The following is a 17,760-nucleotide window of genomic DNA, read 5'->3' as shown; positions in this document are numbered from 1 at the left end:
ACTCTGTCTGCTGTGTTAGGGGACAGGTTAGCTGACAGAATGATTATGTGCCCAGCTCTCTGCCAGTTGGAATAGGGCATAGAAAAGGAAGTATAAGACAGTGTTTGTGCTCTTGAAGACATTTTAAATCCCCTCTTTTCTATTTAGTAGTTGATGTTCATAGTGATGAACTAATAACACTGCAAGACCCTGACATGTACTTATCCTCTGAGTCATGGAGGAAGTGTTAAGTGATACTCAATATTGTGTTAAGTTCATTTTATAGCGGTATAATTCTTTGCCAGTTTGTATATATGTGTGTCTTAGTTAACATTGTATTTATGGAAATGTGTCTTTCCCAATCATTCTGGATAAATGGAAGTTTACATTATCAAGTGCTTTTGGGTATATGGTGTTGCTCAAGGTCACATTCAAATATTTTTCTGAATATTTCTAGTTTATTTGGACAAATATACAGGCAAATGAATGAGAAATGTAAATTAATAAACTTAATAAACATTTAGTTTTTAGAAGAATTGACAGGCATATTTAAATCATACTTAGTAGATAAAAATAGGTCAATTAGTTAATGATAGATTCTATTTGTGACTAAAAGTCAATGATAAGATAGAATGAATACGTATGGGAAAGAGGGAGACTAAAAAAAGTGAGTAGGATAAAACGAGGCTGTATATGAATATAAGTGGCTAGAGATGAAAAGTGAATGGACAGCAGAATGTGGTTGTAGGTCAGTATTGTGTACTAAGGGCTGGGTGTGGAGCTCATGCCTGTTATTCCAACACTTTGAGAGGTCAAAGCAGAAGGATCACTTGAGGCCAGGAGTTTGAGACCAGCCTGGACAACACAGTGAGACCCAGTCCCTACAAAAAAAAATTAAAGAAATTAGCTGGGCATAGGGGTGTGTGCCTGTAGTCTCAGCTACTTGGGAGGCTGAGGCAGGAGAATCCCCTGAGCCCAGGAGTTTGAGGCTGCAGCAACCTATGATCATGCCACTGCACTCCAGCCTGGGCAACAAAGTCAGAACTTGTCTCTTTAAAAAAAAAAAAAGAAAGAAAAAAGAGGTGTACTAATGAAGGTGTGTATGGCATAGATAGGGGTGGCCTTGGAAAAGGCAGTATAGAATTTCTATGCAGATATGGGAAGATTGAGGAACAGAAAGAGCATTCCAGGAGGCAGGAAATTCTTGAGTAGATCAAAATGTATAATAAACATTCAAATAAATAAGGAGAAATGAGGCCAGAAAAACAGATTGTAGAGATAACAGAGAACCTAGGATGGACCGGGCATGGTGGCTCATGCCTGTAATCCCACCACTTTGGGAGGCTGAGGCAGGAGGATCACTTGCGCCCAGGAGTTTGAGACCAGCCTGGGCAACATAGGAAGACCTGGTCTCTACAAATAATAAAAAGTTACCCAAGCATGGTGGCTTGCACCTGTGGTCCTAGCTCCTCAGGAGGCTGAGGTGGGAGGATCGCTTGAGCCTAGGCAGTGGAGGCTGCAGTGAGCCACAATCGTGCCACTAAACTCCAGCCTAGGCAACAGAGTGAAACCCTGACTCAAAACAAAAAACAACAAAAAAACCCCTGAGAACCTAGGATGGTGTTAGAACTTGTTCAAACCTTATATATTAAATTTAGGAGAACTTCTGAAACTTCTAAAGCAATTCTAACATGCAAAGCCTAGCTATAGGAGACTAGTGTCTAGAGATGAATATAAGTGGCTAGAGATGAAAAGTGAATGGACAACAGAATGCGGTTATAGGTCAGAATAGAGAAGTGAAGAATTGAATCATGATTTAGGTCAGTGGTTCTTATACTTTTTGGTCTTAAGATTCCTTCACATTCTTAAAAGTAAGATTCCTTGGCCAGGCGCGGTGGCTCACGCCTGTAATCCCAGCACTTTGGGAGGCCGAGGCGGGCGGATCATGAGGTCAGGAGATCAAGACCATCCTGGCTAACATGGTGAAACCCCATCTGTACTAAAAATACAAAAAATTAGCCGGGCGTTGTGGCGGGTGCCTGTAGTCCCAGCTACTCGGGAGGCTGAGGCAGGAGAGTGGCGTGAACCCGGGAGGCGGTGCTTGCGGTGAGTCCAGATCGTGCCACCACACTCCAGCCTGGGCGACAGAGCAAGACTCTGTCTCAAAAAAAAAGTAAGGTTCCTTGACACTCTTAAAAGTTATTACCCTAAAGAGCTTTTGCTTATATGGGTTACATCTATCACTATTTATAATACTAGAAAATACAATCGAGAATATTCTGAAATATTTTAAATTCATTTAAAAGCAATAGATTATTGCATATTAGCTTTTTGAGGAAAAAATAAATAGTGAAAAGAGTGGCATTGTTCTACATTTTTGAAGATCTTTTTAATGTCTGGCATAGCAGAAGACAGCTGGATTTTCACATCTGCTTCACATATTCCACCAGCCCTCAGAGCTGTGATGGCGTTACAGGTCCTGTAGCAAAATACGCAAGAGGTTTTTCCCTTGGTCTTTCTCCACTTCTGTCCCCTAATAACTTTGCTCCAGCCCCTTAGCAGAATTTGTCTTTTGTTCCACCCTACTTCTCTTGATCTAGCCAGATACAACAAACATTATATATATCAGCCGCTGTTAAAACAGGAAGAGTCAGTCTTTTTTTTGGGACAGGGTCTCCTCTGTCACCCAGGCTGGAGTGTGATGGCACTATCATGGCTTACTGCAGCCCTGACCTCCTGGCCTCAAGTGATCCTCCCACCTCAGTCTCCTGAGTAGCTGGGACTACACTTGCAGGCCACCATGCTTGGCTAAGTTTTGTATTTTTTGTAGAGTCAGGGATCTCATTCCTGGGCTCAAGTGATCCTCCCACCTTGGCCTCCCAAAGTGTTGGGATTACAGGCATGAGTCACCACACCTAGCCGGGTCAGTCTTTGTAATTCAAATAAAGTCTGCCTGTTTCCAGAAGGTCTCAGAGTTTAGGATTCCTTGGAAATGAGTTTTTAAAATGCCCACAGTTGTGTGTGAGAGACAGGAAGAAAAGAGAGAGAGTGAGTGTGTGTGTGTGTGTGTGTGTGTGGTGTGTGTGCTTGCTTTAGAGATAAGGCCTCACTCCATTACCCAGGCTGGAGTGGCTCACTGGAGCCTTGACTTCCTGGGCTCAAACAGTCATCCCACTTCAGCCTCTCAAGTAGCTGGAACTATAGGTGTGTGCAACCAGGCCCAGCCAGTTAGGAGTTGTTTTTTTTTGTTGTTGTTGTTGTTGTTGTTTTATTTTTTTTTTTTTTTGAGATGGAGTTTCGCTCTTGTTACCCAGTCTGGACTGCAATGGCGCGATCTCAGCTCACTGCAACCTCTGCCTTCCAGGTTCAAGTGCTTCTCCTGCGTCAGCCTCCCAAGTAGCTGGGATTACAGGTGCCCGCGACCATGCCTGGCTAATTTTTGTATTTTTAGTAGAGACAGGGTTTCACCATGTTGGCCAGGCTGGTCTCGAACTCCTGACCTCAGGTGATCCGCCTACCTCAGCCTCCCAAAGTGCTGTGATTAGAAATGTGAACCACTGCGCCTGGCCCTTTTCCTTTTCTTGAGTTGAAAACCAATGAGAGGGCAATACGGGACTGGGTAACATGACTTTTGATCGGCAACCCACTTGCCCACCTGCTCTTGGGCAGCATGGACCACTGCAGTCTTCCCCTGCCAGTGCAGATCAGAAAAAAGAGAAAATCCAGAAGGGGCTCAGCTCCATGGCCCAGCGCTTGCCCCACACTCTCCAGTTATTTGTCATTTATTTTCCGCTAGGCATGAGAGGGAGGAAAGAGGCCAAGAATCTTACCCCAGAAGGGGTGGGAAATAGGTTTCTCCTCTCCCCAACAAGACAGTTGTTTATATTTTATCTATTTTGTAAGTAAATGATAGAGTTTATTGTCACGAGTTAGGAGTGCTTTCATGAACAGCCCCCTCTTGCTCAGCAATGACTAGCTGAAGAAGGCTTAACGTTATCTTTCCCAAAATGCAAATCATGTTTTTTCTCTACAATATTGCTAACAGTCCTGTTGAACAAGTAAGTTCATTTAGTAACTGAAAAGGACACGTTGCCATCTGTGTATCACGGAGGGTTATCAGATGCTAGATTGCTTGAAAGTAGATGTCTTCTGAGAGCTTTAGTGAAATTTGAATAGCCACACCATCACTTTTCAAGTTTTTAGGCTGAAATCATCAGAGTATGTGCCTGTGTTGAATCAATTTTGATACATTGGGGGAAGATATTTTAGCAAGCATAATATTAAAAAACATGGGTTTTAGAATTACACAGAACTGGGTTTTAACCCCAGCCTTGCCACTTAACTAGCTGCAGGACCTTGAACAAGTTCTGGTTCCGTGTCTTCTCCCAGCTTCATGTTCTGACTATAAAATGGAGAATGTAATAGCACTTTCCTCATAACATTGTTATGAAGATTAAGAAAATGCAGATAAAGCATTTATTATGTTTGGGACATCACTGCTCAATACATATATATTAAATAGTACATAAAATAATAGATATAATTTATGTAATCCAGAACACCAATTATATAACGTATTTTACCCCATTTTTCTGAATTGAGCTATTAGCCATTAGCTTACAGTAAGCAGCATTACAGAACAGCTCTTTGAAACTTATTTTCATTCAGGAAGAGTTGTTGAGGACTCGGTTTATGTTTCATAGCATCCTCCTCTAAAGGCCTTGGGGAAAGTGGTCCTGTCAGGTCTCAGTCTGAGGGCTTCATGTCCTTTTTCCCCAAGCATTGGGTTTGTGTTTCTATTTTACATTGCATAACTGGTCATATTTCCTTTTTGCATTGCTACTGAAGAAGCTCAGAATCAAACTTGCAACCTTTCTTTGGCAAAGTGGACAGGACCTATGACACGTGTTTTTGATATTAATCTATATTAATCTTCACCTTCATTCTCTCCCCTCACCTCATTCTTACGTTCTCTTCCCCTTCAGGTTCTTCACATAACTTTTGTTTTTGCTCTATCTTTGTAAGAGACTGCAAATCCTTTCTAAATGAGAAGAAACATAAATACATTTAAAATTAAAATACTGAAGTGTAAAATCTTTAAATGTTAGCAACATACTTGGGCTCAGGAAATAATTGCTAGTGATTGTATTTGATTAGTTTTTTGGCCATTGTACAAAGTTAGTTTTGAGATGGGTCACTGCGATGTCACGGATCTCGAGGAGTCTGTGATTACACCACGTCCATGTCAAGCACATAGCTATGTGTTGTTGATGTTGTCCAGTAGCTGTCTAGATATAATTGACGGGTTTCTCTTGTATTCTTGAGTGAGCAGAGCTGAGGTTTTAGAGCACCACAAAACTGTAGGAATGGAGTATCAAAAGGTTGAATACCTGCCTCATGAGGAAACTGGGGGAAAGATGACAGGGCAGATTGTGGCAGAATGTATGTACTGAAAATTTGGGGGAGGAACTATAGCAGGAAGAAAATACATAACCAGGGACACCAAACAGTTGGATTTTTTGTTTAGTGGTTGTTGATTTGGCTTCAATTTAGGGAATATTTTGAGGGTTTTTATTGCTTCAGTAGTTTCAAACTATTTTGTGTCTATGTAAGTTGGCTTTTATTCTCCTGATCTCTCAAACTCAAATCTCAAAATATTGAAAACTTCTGTTATTTTTCCCTAACCCTAATTTACCTTCCTCAAAATCTAATGAATTATCAAATCCTATTGCATCTTCCTTGGAATCATCATTAGTTAAACTAAAGGCAATAGGAAGTGAGTTTAAAATCCTTTCTTCCAGAGCCTGCAGGTCTGTTCATGTGTTTATAATTTTCGTTTTTTGTTTTTTTTTCCATGGATTCAGTGGTCTCCTACTGGTTTATTCATGTTTGGCCTTGCGCTTCTCAAATTCCTTTTTATACCTCATCAGCAAGTGAACTTATTCCACTGCCCTCATGGCTAGCTGTGGCCTGTGAAATCGTCCAGATTCCTTGGGCAGACACTCAGGGTGCTTTGTATTTTTGTTCGGGGCTGTGTTTTCAGCCTTACTGCTTGCCGTTCCCATATGTGGACTCTTGCCTGTCGCACTGATTTCTGTCTTCCCAATCCAATGCTCATAGAGATCACTAAGGATAATCCTGCTTATTAAGTGATGAGTTGGTTTGAATTGTCTCTGGTGGTAGTCTAGGAAAGTGGGATTTCTTTTTAATTTTGGGGTTTTGTTTTTGATTTGTGGTACCAATGAGGATTTTATTTGAGACAGTGTAATGGGGGCCAGATGAGAGAACCATTTTCTTTGTAAGCTTAGCATGGCTGGGCTCTAGCCAGCTCCAGATGAAATTTTGGCTAATTATCCCTTTAGAAAAGTCAGGCTTAAGCAGAACTGGGCTCTAGGTCAATTAACCAAAAGCCAGTTCACCCAATGACCAGTTCATTTATTTAAAAAAAAAAAAAAAAAAAAAAAAAAAAAAAAATATATATATATATATATATATATATATATATATATATATATATATATATGAGTTTCAGTTGACCAGTTTTCCTTTCATCTCATCATATAATCTTGAAAAGTAATATTTAACATGCTCCTGACCCCCAGCCATGTAGCTATAGCTGGAGACCTGGTTTTCTTAGCTGTTATGAAAGTATTTTTGTGTGTGTGTGGATACTTTTTCAAATTGATGTCCCTGTGAGGGGACAAGCATGGGAAGTTATACTCTGCCATCTTGCTGACATCACTCTTTAGTTGTGTGTGTGTTTTAAGGATGCTCAAAATAGCAGAATTTGGCCTAAGAATTTCAGATATTTCACAAATAAGAACTTGTACCTTGAAGAACTTAGGATTAAATAAAAGTGTCTGTAAATTATGTCCATCACATACATACTCACGTAGTGTTAGCTGTCAATACTATTTCTCACTGTATTTTGGATGCAGTTTAACATTGAAAGCTATAATTCTTTTTGCATCTGGAATGCATTACAGTTATCCGTTGGTATCTGCAGGGGATTGGGTCCAGGACTGCTACCTTGGATACCAAAACCTGTGGATGCTCAAGTCCCTTATATAAAATGGTGTGATATTTGCATGTAACCTACACACATTATCCATATACTTTAAATCATCTCTAGATTACTTATAATACCTAATACAATGTAAGGGCTATGTAAATAGTTTTGCAGTATTTTTATTTGTATTATTTTTTGTTATTTTTTTCCTATTTCAATTTATTATGTTTTTCTTGAATATTTTGATTCATGGTTGAATTCACAGATAGGAAACCTGTGGATATGGAGGGCTGACAGTATATGCTTCCCAAGTTCTTGTGTTTTATTTTATATCTTTGAACTTTTAAAGTATAATTTCTATTTTGAACTTATGACAAAGATTCTGTAGTCAGTATCCATCATCAACATTGGAGGGTCTACTGAACAAGGAATTTTAAGCTAATAGGTGTGAATCCTGTGGTCAGACTGTGATCAGCTCCCTTAATAAGTACAAATATTAATGTTCTGCAGAGTGTGGTACCACTTGTATTGCAGATGTTTTTTCACCTTGTAGTGTATATTGTTCTGGCATAAAAGCCTGTTTCCAAGGGGGGTAGAAATGCCAGATAGAGGCATATTTATCCATTGTTTTAAATTACTCATTTTGTTATAATGTTGTATTTTTGTGTGTGTGATGTTCTTTTTCTTTGCTAGCATAACCCCAGATGTCTGCTTTTAATTTTTATACCATTACAAGGAATCATGTAGTCAACATCAAGTTTAGAATTATAATTTTCAAAAATGGATCATAATCAAAACATATATACATTGATTAGCATTTAAGGCACGCCTTATCAATGGTAAAGAATAGTGCTATCTGAAACAAAACCAAGTAGCAAATAATAGCTTTTCCTTGTGGTTTTTCCCATTCAGTTACTAACTTGTTATAGAGTCGTGTTTTATTTATATATCAGAGATGCTTGTTCTGTTCATGGTCATGTAGCGTAAATAGTATATACTATTGTTTTAATAAAGCTTATAATTTTCTAAATTTTATATATGGCATGTTGTTTTTTTTGAGATAGAGTCTCACTTTGCCACCCAGGCTGGAGTACAGTGGCATGATCTTGGCTCATTGTAACCTCCACCTCCCAGGTTCAGGCCATCCTCTTGCCTCAGCTTACCAAGGAGATGGGATTACAGGTGCACGCCACCATGCCCGGATAATTTTTTTCTGTATTTTTAGTAGACATGGGTTTCACCATGTTGGCCAGGCTGGTCTCAAACTCCTGACCTCATGATCCGCTCGAATCAACCTCCCAAAGTGCTGGGATTACAGGCGTGAGCCGCTGCGCCTGGCCACGTGTAGTTTTTTGAATTAAAGTTTTCATGCATATGAACAAAAGGATTGCATTCTAAATGTATGTTAATATCTGTCTTTTCTAGAAAAGTTACTAAAATTACTTAAAAATACTAATTACATAAATGCTGTACTTTGTTTTTATAGAACTTTTCACCTATAATTTATTTTCTTTTAAGGTCAGTGGATAAGTCTGTCATAGTATATGATACTGTAAGTATTTAAAAATCTTGTGGTGATCTATGAAAGTTATGTTTATTAGACTACTGAACTTCAAGTTAGGCCTGGTAGAAAAAGTATATATTTTTTCTGTTTAGTATGACTAAGAACATAAATATTTTCACAAATGCTAAAATAGTTACGCAAGTAAGATATTGGTTCTGCAACAAGCCCTTAAATATTTCAGTAATGATTTTAAGATGGATAGATTTTAAATGTGATCATAAACTATACATATTTAAAGAGCACCAGTGTTCAAAACATCACATACAATCAATTATTAAACTTTTACACCAGGCTTCCATAATAGCAAAGGATGAATGTTTACCCTAGGGTTTTTGGTGAATATGGTTGAAAGTGACCTACCATTCTTAGAGTCCTGGCTGGATTTAGGGAGAGGCATAAGAAAGGATAGGTTATCATGGACTTGGAAAATGGGAGTTTTTTACTGATCCATGTGTGGGTAAAGACCAAGTTGTGGCCGGGTGCAGTGGCTCACACCTGTAATCCCAGCATGTCAGAAGGCTGAAGCAGGCAGATGGCTTGAGTCCAGGAGTTTAAGACCAGCCTGGCCAACATGGTGAAACCTCATCTCTACCAAAAATACAAAAACTTAGCTGACCGTGGTGGCGCGTCCCTGTAGTCCCAGCTACTTGGGAGTCTGAGGCAAGAGGATGGCTTGAACCCCGGAGGTGGAGGTTGCAGTGAGCCGAGATTGTGCCACTGCACTCCAGCCTGGGCAACAGAGTGAGACCCTGTCTCAAAAATAAAGTAGTTGAAAAAAATATTGTCCAAAAGAAGAAAATGTTGAGTGGAGCCTCCTAATGCTGTAGCTATGCCAGCAAATAAATGGAGATATAAGTAATCAAAGGGTAGCGAGTTAAGCAAGTGATGTAAGCTAGTCTTCCACACAGAAGTTCGAGTCACTGAGTGTTCTGGCAGGAAATGGGAAAGAATACTCAAGCTAGGTGAGGTAAATCTTTAATATTTCTCATGAACGTTTCATGAGATTTTACATTCTCAAAAACAATTATAACACTAAATTGTCTCTGTAAAATATGTATGAGTCCCACTTAAATACACCTAAAATGTTAGATGGACACCTTAGTGTACTCTAAGGGACTAATTTATTTATTTGTTTTTTTGAGACAGACTCTTGCTCCTTTGCCCAGGCCGTAGTGCAGTGGTGCGATCTTGGCTCACTGCAACCTCTGCCTCCCGGGTTCAAGCAATTCTCCTGCCTTAGCCTCCCAAGTAGCTGGGACTACAGGCACGTGCCACCATGCCAGCTAATATTTTATATTTTTAATAGGGATGGGGTTTCACCGTGTTGGCCAGGCTGGTCTCAAACTCCTGAGCTCAAGTGATCCACCTGCCTCGGCCTCCCGACATGCTGGGATTATAGGTGTGAGCCACTGCACCCGGCCAAGGGACTAATTTCTACTCACTGGTCCTGCAATGTATACAAGTCAAATGCCATAGTCAAAAATATGAATTATTTCAGGTAATAGATGTTTAGGTTACTATTAGTAGGTTCAAACAGATGAGCAAATGCCAAGGGTCTACTGTACTAAAAATTTCTAAGGAGGTGGCTAGCAGACAATAATGCCGATAATTGACAAAAAGTGAAGTAAGTACCTGAGAATGCTGTTACAGATGCTGTTTCTGCTATTCATTGAGTAAAGTTTCAACTTATGTTAGTTACTAATAAATATTAATATATCCACTTAGTATACAACCCATTTATGTCAAATGAGTCTTCATCAGTAACTTTACTCTTACTTGAGTAAATTTAAAGCTGTTTTTATTGTTTTTCAGAATACTGAGAATATACTTCACACATTGACTCAGCACACCAGGTCTGAACTTAACCTCACCTTGTATTAATATAATTTAAAAATTAGTCAGAAGATACATAATAGTTGTTTTTATTAACTAGGTATGTCACAACTTGTGCTTTTGCACCTAATACCCTTTTACTTGCTACTGGTTCAATGGACAAAACAGTGAACATCTGGCAATTTGACCTGGAAACACTTTGCCAAGGTTAGTAAGGACATCATTTTTCACTCATTTCAACCCCACTCACCATTAGGGTCAGAAAGTTAGTAAATCGGGCTGGGCACCGCGGCTCACACCTGTAATCCCAGCACTTTGGGAGGCCAAGGTGGGTGTATCACTTGAGGTCAGAAGTTCGAGACCAGCCTGGCCAACATGGTGAAACCCTGTCTCTACTAAAAATACAAAAAAGTAGCTCAGCATGATGGTGCATGCTTATAATCCCCGCTACTCGGGAGGCTGAGGCAGGAGAATCGCTTGAACCTGGGAGGCGGAGGTTACAGTGACCTGAGATCGTGCCATTGCACTCCAGCCTGGGCGACAAGAGTGAAACTCCATCTCAAAAAAAAAAAAAAAAGTTAGTAAATCATTTGACAGGTTATTCACATTGCTTTTATCAATATAAAGTATACATCCAAATTTAATGTCATTTAAAAATAGTTTGGCCTGGCATGGTGGCTCACACTTATAATCCCAGCACTTTGGGAGGCCGAGGTGGATGGATTGCGTGAGCCCAGGAGTCTGAGATTAGCTTGGGCAACATGGTGAAACCCCATCTCTACAAAAAAGACAAAAATTAGCCACACATGGGGGTGTGCACTTGTGGCCCCAGCTACTTGGGATGCTGAGGTGGGAAGGATCACCTGAGCCCAGGAGGTCATGAGGCTGCAGTGAGCTGAGAACACGCCACTGTACTTCAGCCTGGGCAAGGGAGTGAGAACTCATCTCTAAAATAATAATAATAATTTTACAGAAGCCAGTGTTGAAGTGGCTGGGCTGTGTTAAAGCTGTTGGTAAATGCTTTCAGTGCACATTCATGTGTCCCACTCCTCCCATGGTTTCTAAGTTATTTGTTTATACTCCATACTAATTTTTCAGGTAAATATAACCTCAGGACAAAATCGAAATTATCGTTGTATTTTGTTGGTTTTATTTTGGCATCAAGCGACATTGGCACATAATTTAGGAGTTTTATTTTTATCACTGTCAGAATTATCTAAATAGTGGTGCTGATATGCAGATGATGGAGCAAATAGAATACCTTTGCTGGTATGAATTTTATATAATAAAAAATTGTTTTCCTGATGTGAAAAAGAAAATGATCCAAAAGCAAGTTAAAGTGGTAAAACAATTTTTTTTTTTTTTTTGAGACTGGTCTCCCTATGTTACTTAGGCCGGTCTTGAACTCCTGACTTCAAGTGATCCTCCTGCCTCAGCCACTTGAGAAGCTAGGATTATAGGCATGAGCCACTGTACCTAGCTATAAAACACAGATTTAAGGAAATTTCATTTACTTTTAATTCAAAGTGAGAATGTTTATAAAGGAAATACTTTTTTGTTATCTCACTTACTTGTTTGTTTATTTTAAGCAAGGCGCACAGAACATCAGCTGAAGCAATTTACCGAAGATTGGTCAGAGGAGGATGTCTCAACATGGCTTTGTGCACAAGATTTAAAAGATCTTGTTGGTATTTTCAAGATGAATAACATTGATGGAAAAGAACTGTTGAATCTTACAAAAGAAAGTCTGGCTGATGATTTGAAAATTGGTAAGCTTAGTGAAAGATAGGCAATCTTCAAAACAACTTTTACCAAATTACTCTGCAGTTGGATTTTGTTGCATTAATGGTTTCTTCTTAATGTTCTGGCACTACACTAATGACCCATCTTCTTGATTATGGCCATCCTAGCAGCTGTGAAGTGGAATTTCATTATGGTTTTGATTTTCATTTACCTAATGACATGCATCTTTCATGTGCTTATTTGCCATTTATATATCTTCTTTGGAGAAATGTCTGATCAGATCCATTGCCCATTTTTAAACTGGGTTGTCTTTTTATTGTTGACTTTGTAAGAGTTGTTTATGTATTCTGGGTACTAGATCTTTACCAAAAACAAGTTTTGATATCATGCTCTAATAAACATAATTGCCAGACACTATTACTAATATGCTATAGTAAAATTTTAGTTAACCAGAAAGCTCAGGAAATAAGATATTCATGTTGAGATTTATTACTAATGAAGAGTGAAATAACTAAAAATCTTTGTTATAGAAAACCATTTTAAAGTATAGTATTATAAGTATTTTACTTTCCTTACATAGTAAACATAGTACGTGAGCCTATTTAAATCTCTTGGAAGCCTATGGCCTTTTAAGGAGTTAACAGAATGATTTTGTGAAAACACATAAGTGGTTTTGTACTATACTCAGGCTATACTTGAGTACAGTCACTTTTCTTTATTTAATTTAATTTAATTTATTTTATTTATTTATTTTTGAGATGGAGTCTCGCTCTGTCACCCAGGCCGGTGTGCAGTGGCGCGATCTCGGTTCACTGCAAGCTCCGCCTCCCAGGTTCACACCATTCTTCTGCCTCAGCCTCCCGAGTAGCTGGGACTACAGGCGCCTGCCACCATGCCTGGCTAATTTTTTATATTTTTAGTAAAGACAGGGTTTCACCATGTTAGCCAGGATGGTCTTGATCTCCTGACCTTGTGATCCGCCTGCCTCAGCCTCCCAAAGTGCTGGGATTACAGACCTGAGCCACCGTGCCTGGCCAAGTACAGTCACTTTTCTATCTCTTTTTGTGTGGGGGTGGCAGGGTGGGGGAAGAGATAGGAGGGTCTCACTCTGTTGCCCAGGCTGGAGTGCAGTGGTGCGATCACAGCTCACTACAGCCTCGACCTCCCAGGCTCAAGTGGTCTTCCTGTCTCAGCCTCCCAAGTAATTGGGACCACATGCACATGCTACCACGCCCAGCTTATTTTTACAAATTTTTGTAGAGATGAGGTCTCTCTATTGCCCAGGCTGGTCTTAAACTGCTGGGGTCAAGCAGTCCTCCAGCCTTGGCCTCCCAAAGTGTTGGGATTATGGGCATGAGCCACTGCACCCAGCATCTCTCTGTAATAAAACATTTCCTTTCAACTTCCTCTTTCTTCTGAGAGTAGGTAATAGAGTAGGGGCTTTGTTTTTAAAAAAAACTCACAAATTTAGCATCTTAATTTCTTGTTAATCTCTCACAATTAATCTTAAGGGTACCTTATCAAGTAGAATTACTTCACAATATGAAATAATTTCAGATTCAACAAAGGATGTTTGAAAACATAAGAAAAGCATATAGAAACAATAGAAATACAATTCTATTTTTATAACTAGGTAAATAAGGCATTCTAGTTTTTTGTTTGAGACAGGGTCTCCCTCTGTTGCCCAGGCTGGAGTCCTCTGGCATGGTCATGCCTCACTGCAGCTTCAACCTCCTAGGCTCAAGTGATCCTCCTACCTCGGCCTCGTGAGTAGCTGGAACCACAGGCATGTGCCACCATGCCTGGCTAATTTTTAAAATTATTTGTAGAGATGAGGTCTCACTACTTTGCCCAGGCTGGTCTCAAACTCCTGACCTTAAGTGACCCTCCCAGCTCGGCCTCCCAATGTGCTAGGATTACAGGCATGAGCCACTGTGCCTGGCCAAGAATAAGACATTCTTGTAGGATTCAATTAATGATCAATTAATGATTCAATTAGTTTTTGAAGGATGAGTCTCAGGTTTAGCAGTAGTAATCATTTTACTTCAAAGTTCAGTGAAATGGGTTTTGGAAGTGTCAGGCCCAAGCCAAAATTGAAATACAGTTTAAACAAGTTCTGTGATGGTCTAATAGGTGAATTTGAAAAACCATTAAGAATGGAGACAAAAATGTTGCACATTCTCTAGTAAATAAGGACTCTTAGGCTTGTGTTTAAGATATGGAGATCTAGCAAACTCAACAAATTAGAATAAAGTAGTAAAAATTGACTGTAACATTTATTTTTTATGTCATTCTAATGTATTTTAAGGTTTTTGCAACCTTCATTATAAAGGATCAAGTGGCTAACTTTAATCTTCTATAAATGGTATTGTAAGCTACAATGAATTTCTTTTAGTCCTGAATTTTAAGAAAAATAGACCTCAAAATAGTAAATTGCACTAATAGAGAATTAAATTTGGTCTAGAAACAAATATGTTGAGGTGAACCAATGAGTATATATGCTATTGAATTTTGCTTTTTTAATGCATATCTATTTTACCTGCGTTTGCCTTTGTGATATAACTGTTTAAAACAGCTGCCATGTCAATGTGAATAAATCTGAGTTTAACATTCAGCAAATGGAGGAAGTTGATTAATTGTACAGTAAAGTACATTGGAGGGTTTGAGACCAAAGTCGTATATCTATTATGTTTGACATTTAAATTATTTTTAAGGAATTGAGCAGTTTATCAAATCTTTTTTCAATGAGTCTTTTGTAAATACACAATAAATGAAATTTCTGCAGACTTGAGTATGTTTGACTTTGGAGCTTTACCCAAGGATAATAGTCATTTTCTAGGATTGTGTTAATGGAAGCCTAGGGTACAATAGACGTACAGCTTTAGTTAGGAAATAATTCCTTATATCTAGAACTATATTTGGATAAGGAATGTCTGGACAGAGTACAGGTTCAAGAGATCCTTGATGTTGAGAGGGATATGTCTTAAGACATTTGCTATGAATTTGTGACTACTACTATAACATTTAATATCTCATTCAAAAGGCATAAAGTGTGAAAGGTTAAGAGTAGGAAAGTCACTTTTAGATGTGATATTACGCAACGAGTTGAGTCTACTACTAACTAGCCACACAGCTTCCATCTAGCTACTCATTGGCCTCAGTTTATATCTAGGCCTTGGGAATGCGGCAGATTGCTACGTATCTTGGAGTTTGGAATTGCTATAGAAGATAAAATGATAGAAACTTAAAATGACAAATGCTAAGGAACTATTGTATATCATGTTGGTATTTATGAAATTCAGATAATTATCAACCATAGATGCCTAATTGGGAACGAGATTTTTTTCAAAGGGTTCACTCTTCCATTTGCTCTTCTTTCCAAGAAATCATAAAAGCACATAAGACATTTTTATCATTTTCTAATTTAAAATTAAAACTAGAAATTTAAATACATCACCTGTCTTAGTATCCTCGGGTTTTGAAAGTTTCATGTTTCGGTTCTTATTAATTCGTTATGTAGATTTCACTTGTTGCCTATGTAACTGCATTTATTGTTAAGTAATTGAACATTTACAGTTTTTTTGTTGTTGTTTATATGTGATTAAAGTGAAATAGGCTGTTCAAATCTAGTTACTGTGCAATGACCCCCTGTTGAAAGGGCATAACCCTCCCTGGTCAGCTGCTGTCTGAAGTTGGCCCACTCTCCCTTCCAGTGCTTACTTGTTGGACATGCTGGGGTCTCATTTGCTCAGGCCCATCAGATGTCCTGTTGCTTTCTTCTACACAGATGCCAACCACAGGTCTTTATGGCTGTTAATGGCTTGTCCTCACTCACGTATATTGTAGGGTTCATGAAGATATCTTGCTATCTTGTTTTGTTGGAAATGTCCATGCAATTTGAGTTTATCTGGTTGCTGTTTTTTCAGAGAAATTTAAAAACTATACTGCTTCTATCCTGTTCTTCATACCCTCTTAAAAATTCCTCATGTATCTATAGCTGTGTTTTCCATTCTTAATATAGGTTTCGTGTCTTCTCTTGATCATTCTATGTAGAAATTTGATTTTTTAAATTAATTTTTAATTTTTAAAAAGCAGATTTTTAGCTTTCTTCGTAAGAAACCAGCATTTGGTTCTGTTGTTCTCTGTCAGGGTAGGGGAGAGGTGAGTCAGTGACCAGCTTGGTGGTCTGTGCTTGTTCAATTCCAGGCTCTCGTGCTGTCTTGGTAACTGGCCTCCAGCTGGGGCTGCTGTGGCATCGGTACTTACAGGACAAAGTTGGGAGAGTAAAGGGCACACGTAGGAAGGTCTCTGTCTCATTCATGTACCCACATCTCTGCTCTATGCTGTCATTTCCCAGCTCTCACTCCGGAACCCCGTTACCTTCTGTTTCGTCAGAGGTTTTTGGGGTTGAGTTTTTATATCCGTTAGTTTAGTTTTGTATATTTGATGGTTATTAGTGTCTAGATTCCATCAAACTCTCAGTGATGTAGCATTTCCAGAGTTGGGTGATTTTAACTTGTCATCAAGATGTCTTTTCAGGATTATAGTCAGTAATAGCCAGATATTGCCCAATACTGGTACCGAGGGTTTACTAGCCCTTAGCTGGTAAGGGTCCTTTCTTTCTCAGCAATTAAGTGTATAAGACTTATTCTTAACTCCCAATCACAAAAGGAGATGTTTGGTTCCGGTAGAGCTCTGGGGATGTGGTTTAGTAAACGCTTCCCTGAGGGCAAGATGATCTGACTTCATTTCTAAATGACGTTAGGATTGGAGAAGGATAATGCCCAATTTAACCTTCTCTGGGGAATTTTGAATTAGGCCTTCTGTGTTCTCTGTTATAAATACTAGAAGCATTGTAAGTATTAGCACACATGTAGAATATTTTTGACAGGAAAATATACTTTTTAAAGAATATTAGTTGCTCCTATATTTTTTTCTTTTTCTTAATTTTTTTTTGAGACAGAGTCTCACTCTGTTGCCCGGGCTGGAGTGCAGTGGCATGAACATGGCTCACTGTAGCCTCTACCTCTTGGGCTCTGTAGATTCTCCTGCCTCAGCCTCCTGAGGAGCTGGGACTACAGGTATGCACCACCATGCCCAGCTAATTTTTAAAATTTTTTTTGTAGAGAAAGAGTCTTGCTATGTTGCCCAGGCTGGTCTCAAACTCCTGGTCTTAAGCAGTGCTCCCACCTTGGCCTCTCAAGTGCTGAGATTATAGGCATGAGCCACTACACCCAGCCTCCTTTTCTTATTATGTTATATAATTATCTCTTTAAATGAGATGTCTACTGTCTTATTGCAAACATGTTCTGGAAACATTTATGACAGTTTTTGAAGCCATGTCTCTACCCAGGTGGAAGATTTTTAGGAAGCATACCCCAGTCACGACAGATTTTCTACCATCTCATCCTCTAATACCCCACTTCAGCAAATCTTGATCTTATCTAAGCCTTTATTCTATTAATCTTATGTACCTCTTATCTATCTCTACTCTTATTTTCCACCTTACTTAGCTTAGAATACATGATCCATCATTATAACTCCTCGTAAACCTTCCACTGTATTTGCCTGGCAAAATAAAAATACAGCTCAGCTAACCCTTGGAAAACACAGCATTGTGAATGGGACATTC

At 39.0% G+C, this 17,760-nt stretch overlaps 1 protein-coding gene across 21 annotated transcripts in view, besides 1 other annotated feature; it reads left to right on the top strand.

The window, feature by feature from the left end:
• Nucleotides 1-17,760, top strand: part of WDSUB1 (WD repeat, sterile alpha motif and U-box domain containing 1) — a 50,906-nt gene that overhangs the window by 18,354 nt on the left and 14,792 nt on the right. For 13 of the 21 annotated variants that reach the window (XR_001738650.3, XR_007069663.1, NM_001330279.2 and 10 more), the window contains 4 exons: nt 8,507-8,540; nt 10,365-10,405; nt 10,486-10,592; nt 11,975-12,154. Coding sequence is in view for 19 of the 21 variants with exons in the window: in NM_001330279.2 (NP_001317208.1) it covers nt 8,507-8,540; nt 10,365-10,405; nt 10,486-10,592; nt 11,975-12,154 (362 nt within the window). In the remaining 2 variants the exon portion in view is untranslated. Of the gene's footprint in view, nt 1-8,506; nt 8,541-10,364; nt 10,406-10,485; nt 10,593-11,974; nt 12,155-17,760 lie in introns of those variants that run through there. The other 8 variants (XM_047443531.1, XM_047443529.1, NM_001330276.2 and 5 more) reach the window with 2 other exon arrangements.
• Nucleotides 11,084-11,252: a silencer, noted in NCBI's record as "fragment chr2:160113609-160113777 (GRCh37/hg19 assembly coordinates)". NCBI's record gives its function as "represses an EF-1alpha promoter that drives an FKBP-Casp9 reporter gene in an ReSE screen in HepG2 liver carcinoma cells {active_cell/tissue: HepG2}" and the evidence as "EXISTENCE:reporter gene assay evidence [ECO:0000049][PMID:32094911]".

Source organism: Homo sapiens, chromosome 2 (assembly GCF_000001405.40).
Source record: "Homo sapiens chromosome 2, GRCh38.p14 Primary Assembly".
NCBI classification, from domain to species: Eukaryota; Metazoa; Chordata; class Mammalia; order Primates; family Hominidae; genus Homo; species Homo sapiens.
This window is presented reverse-complemented; position numbering and strand designations above follow the sequence as displayed.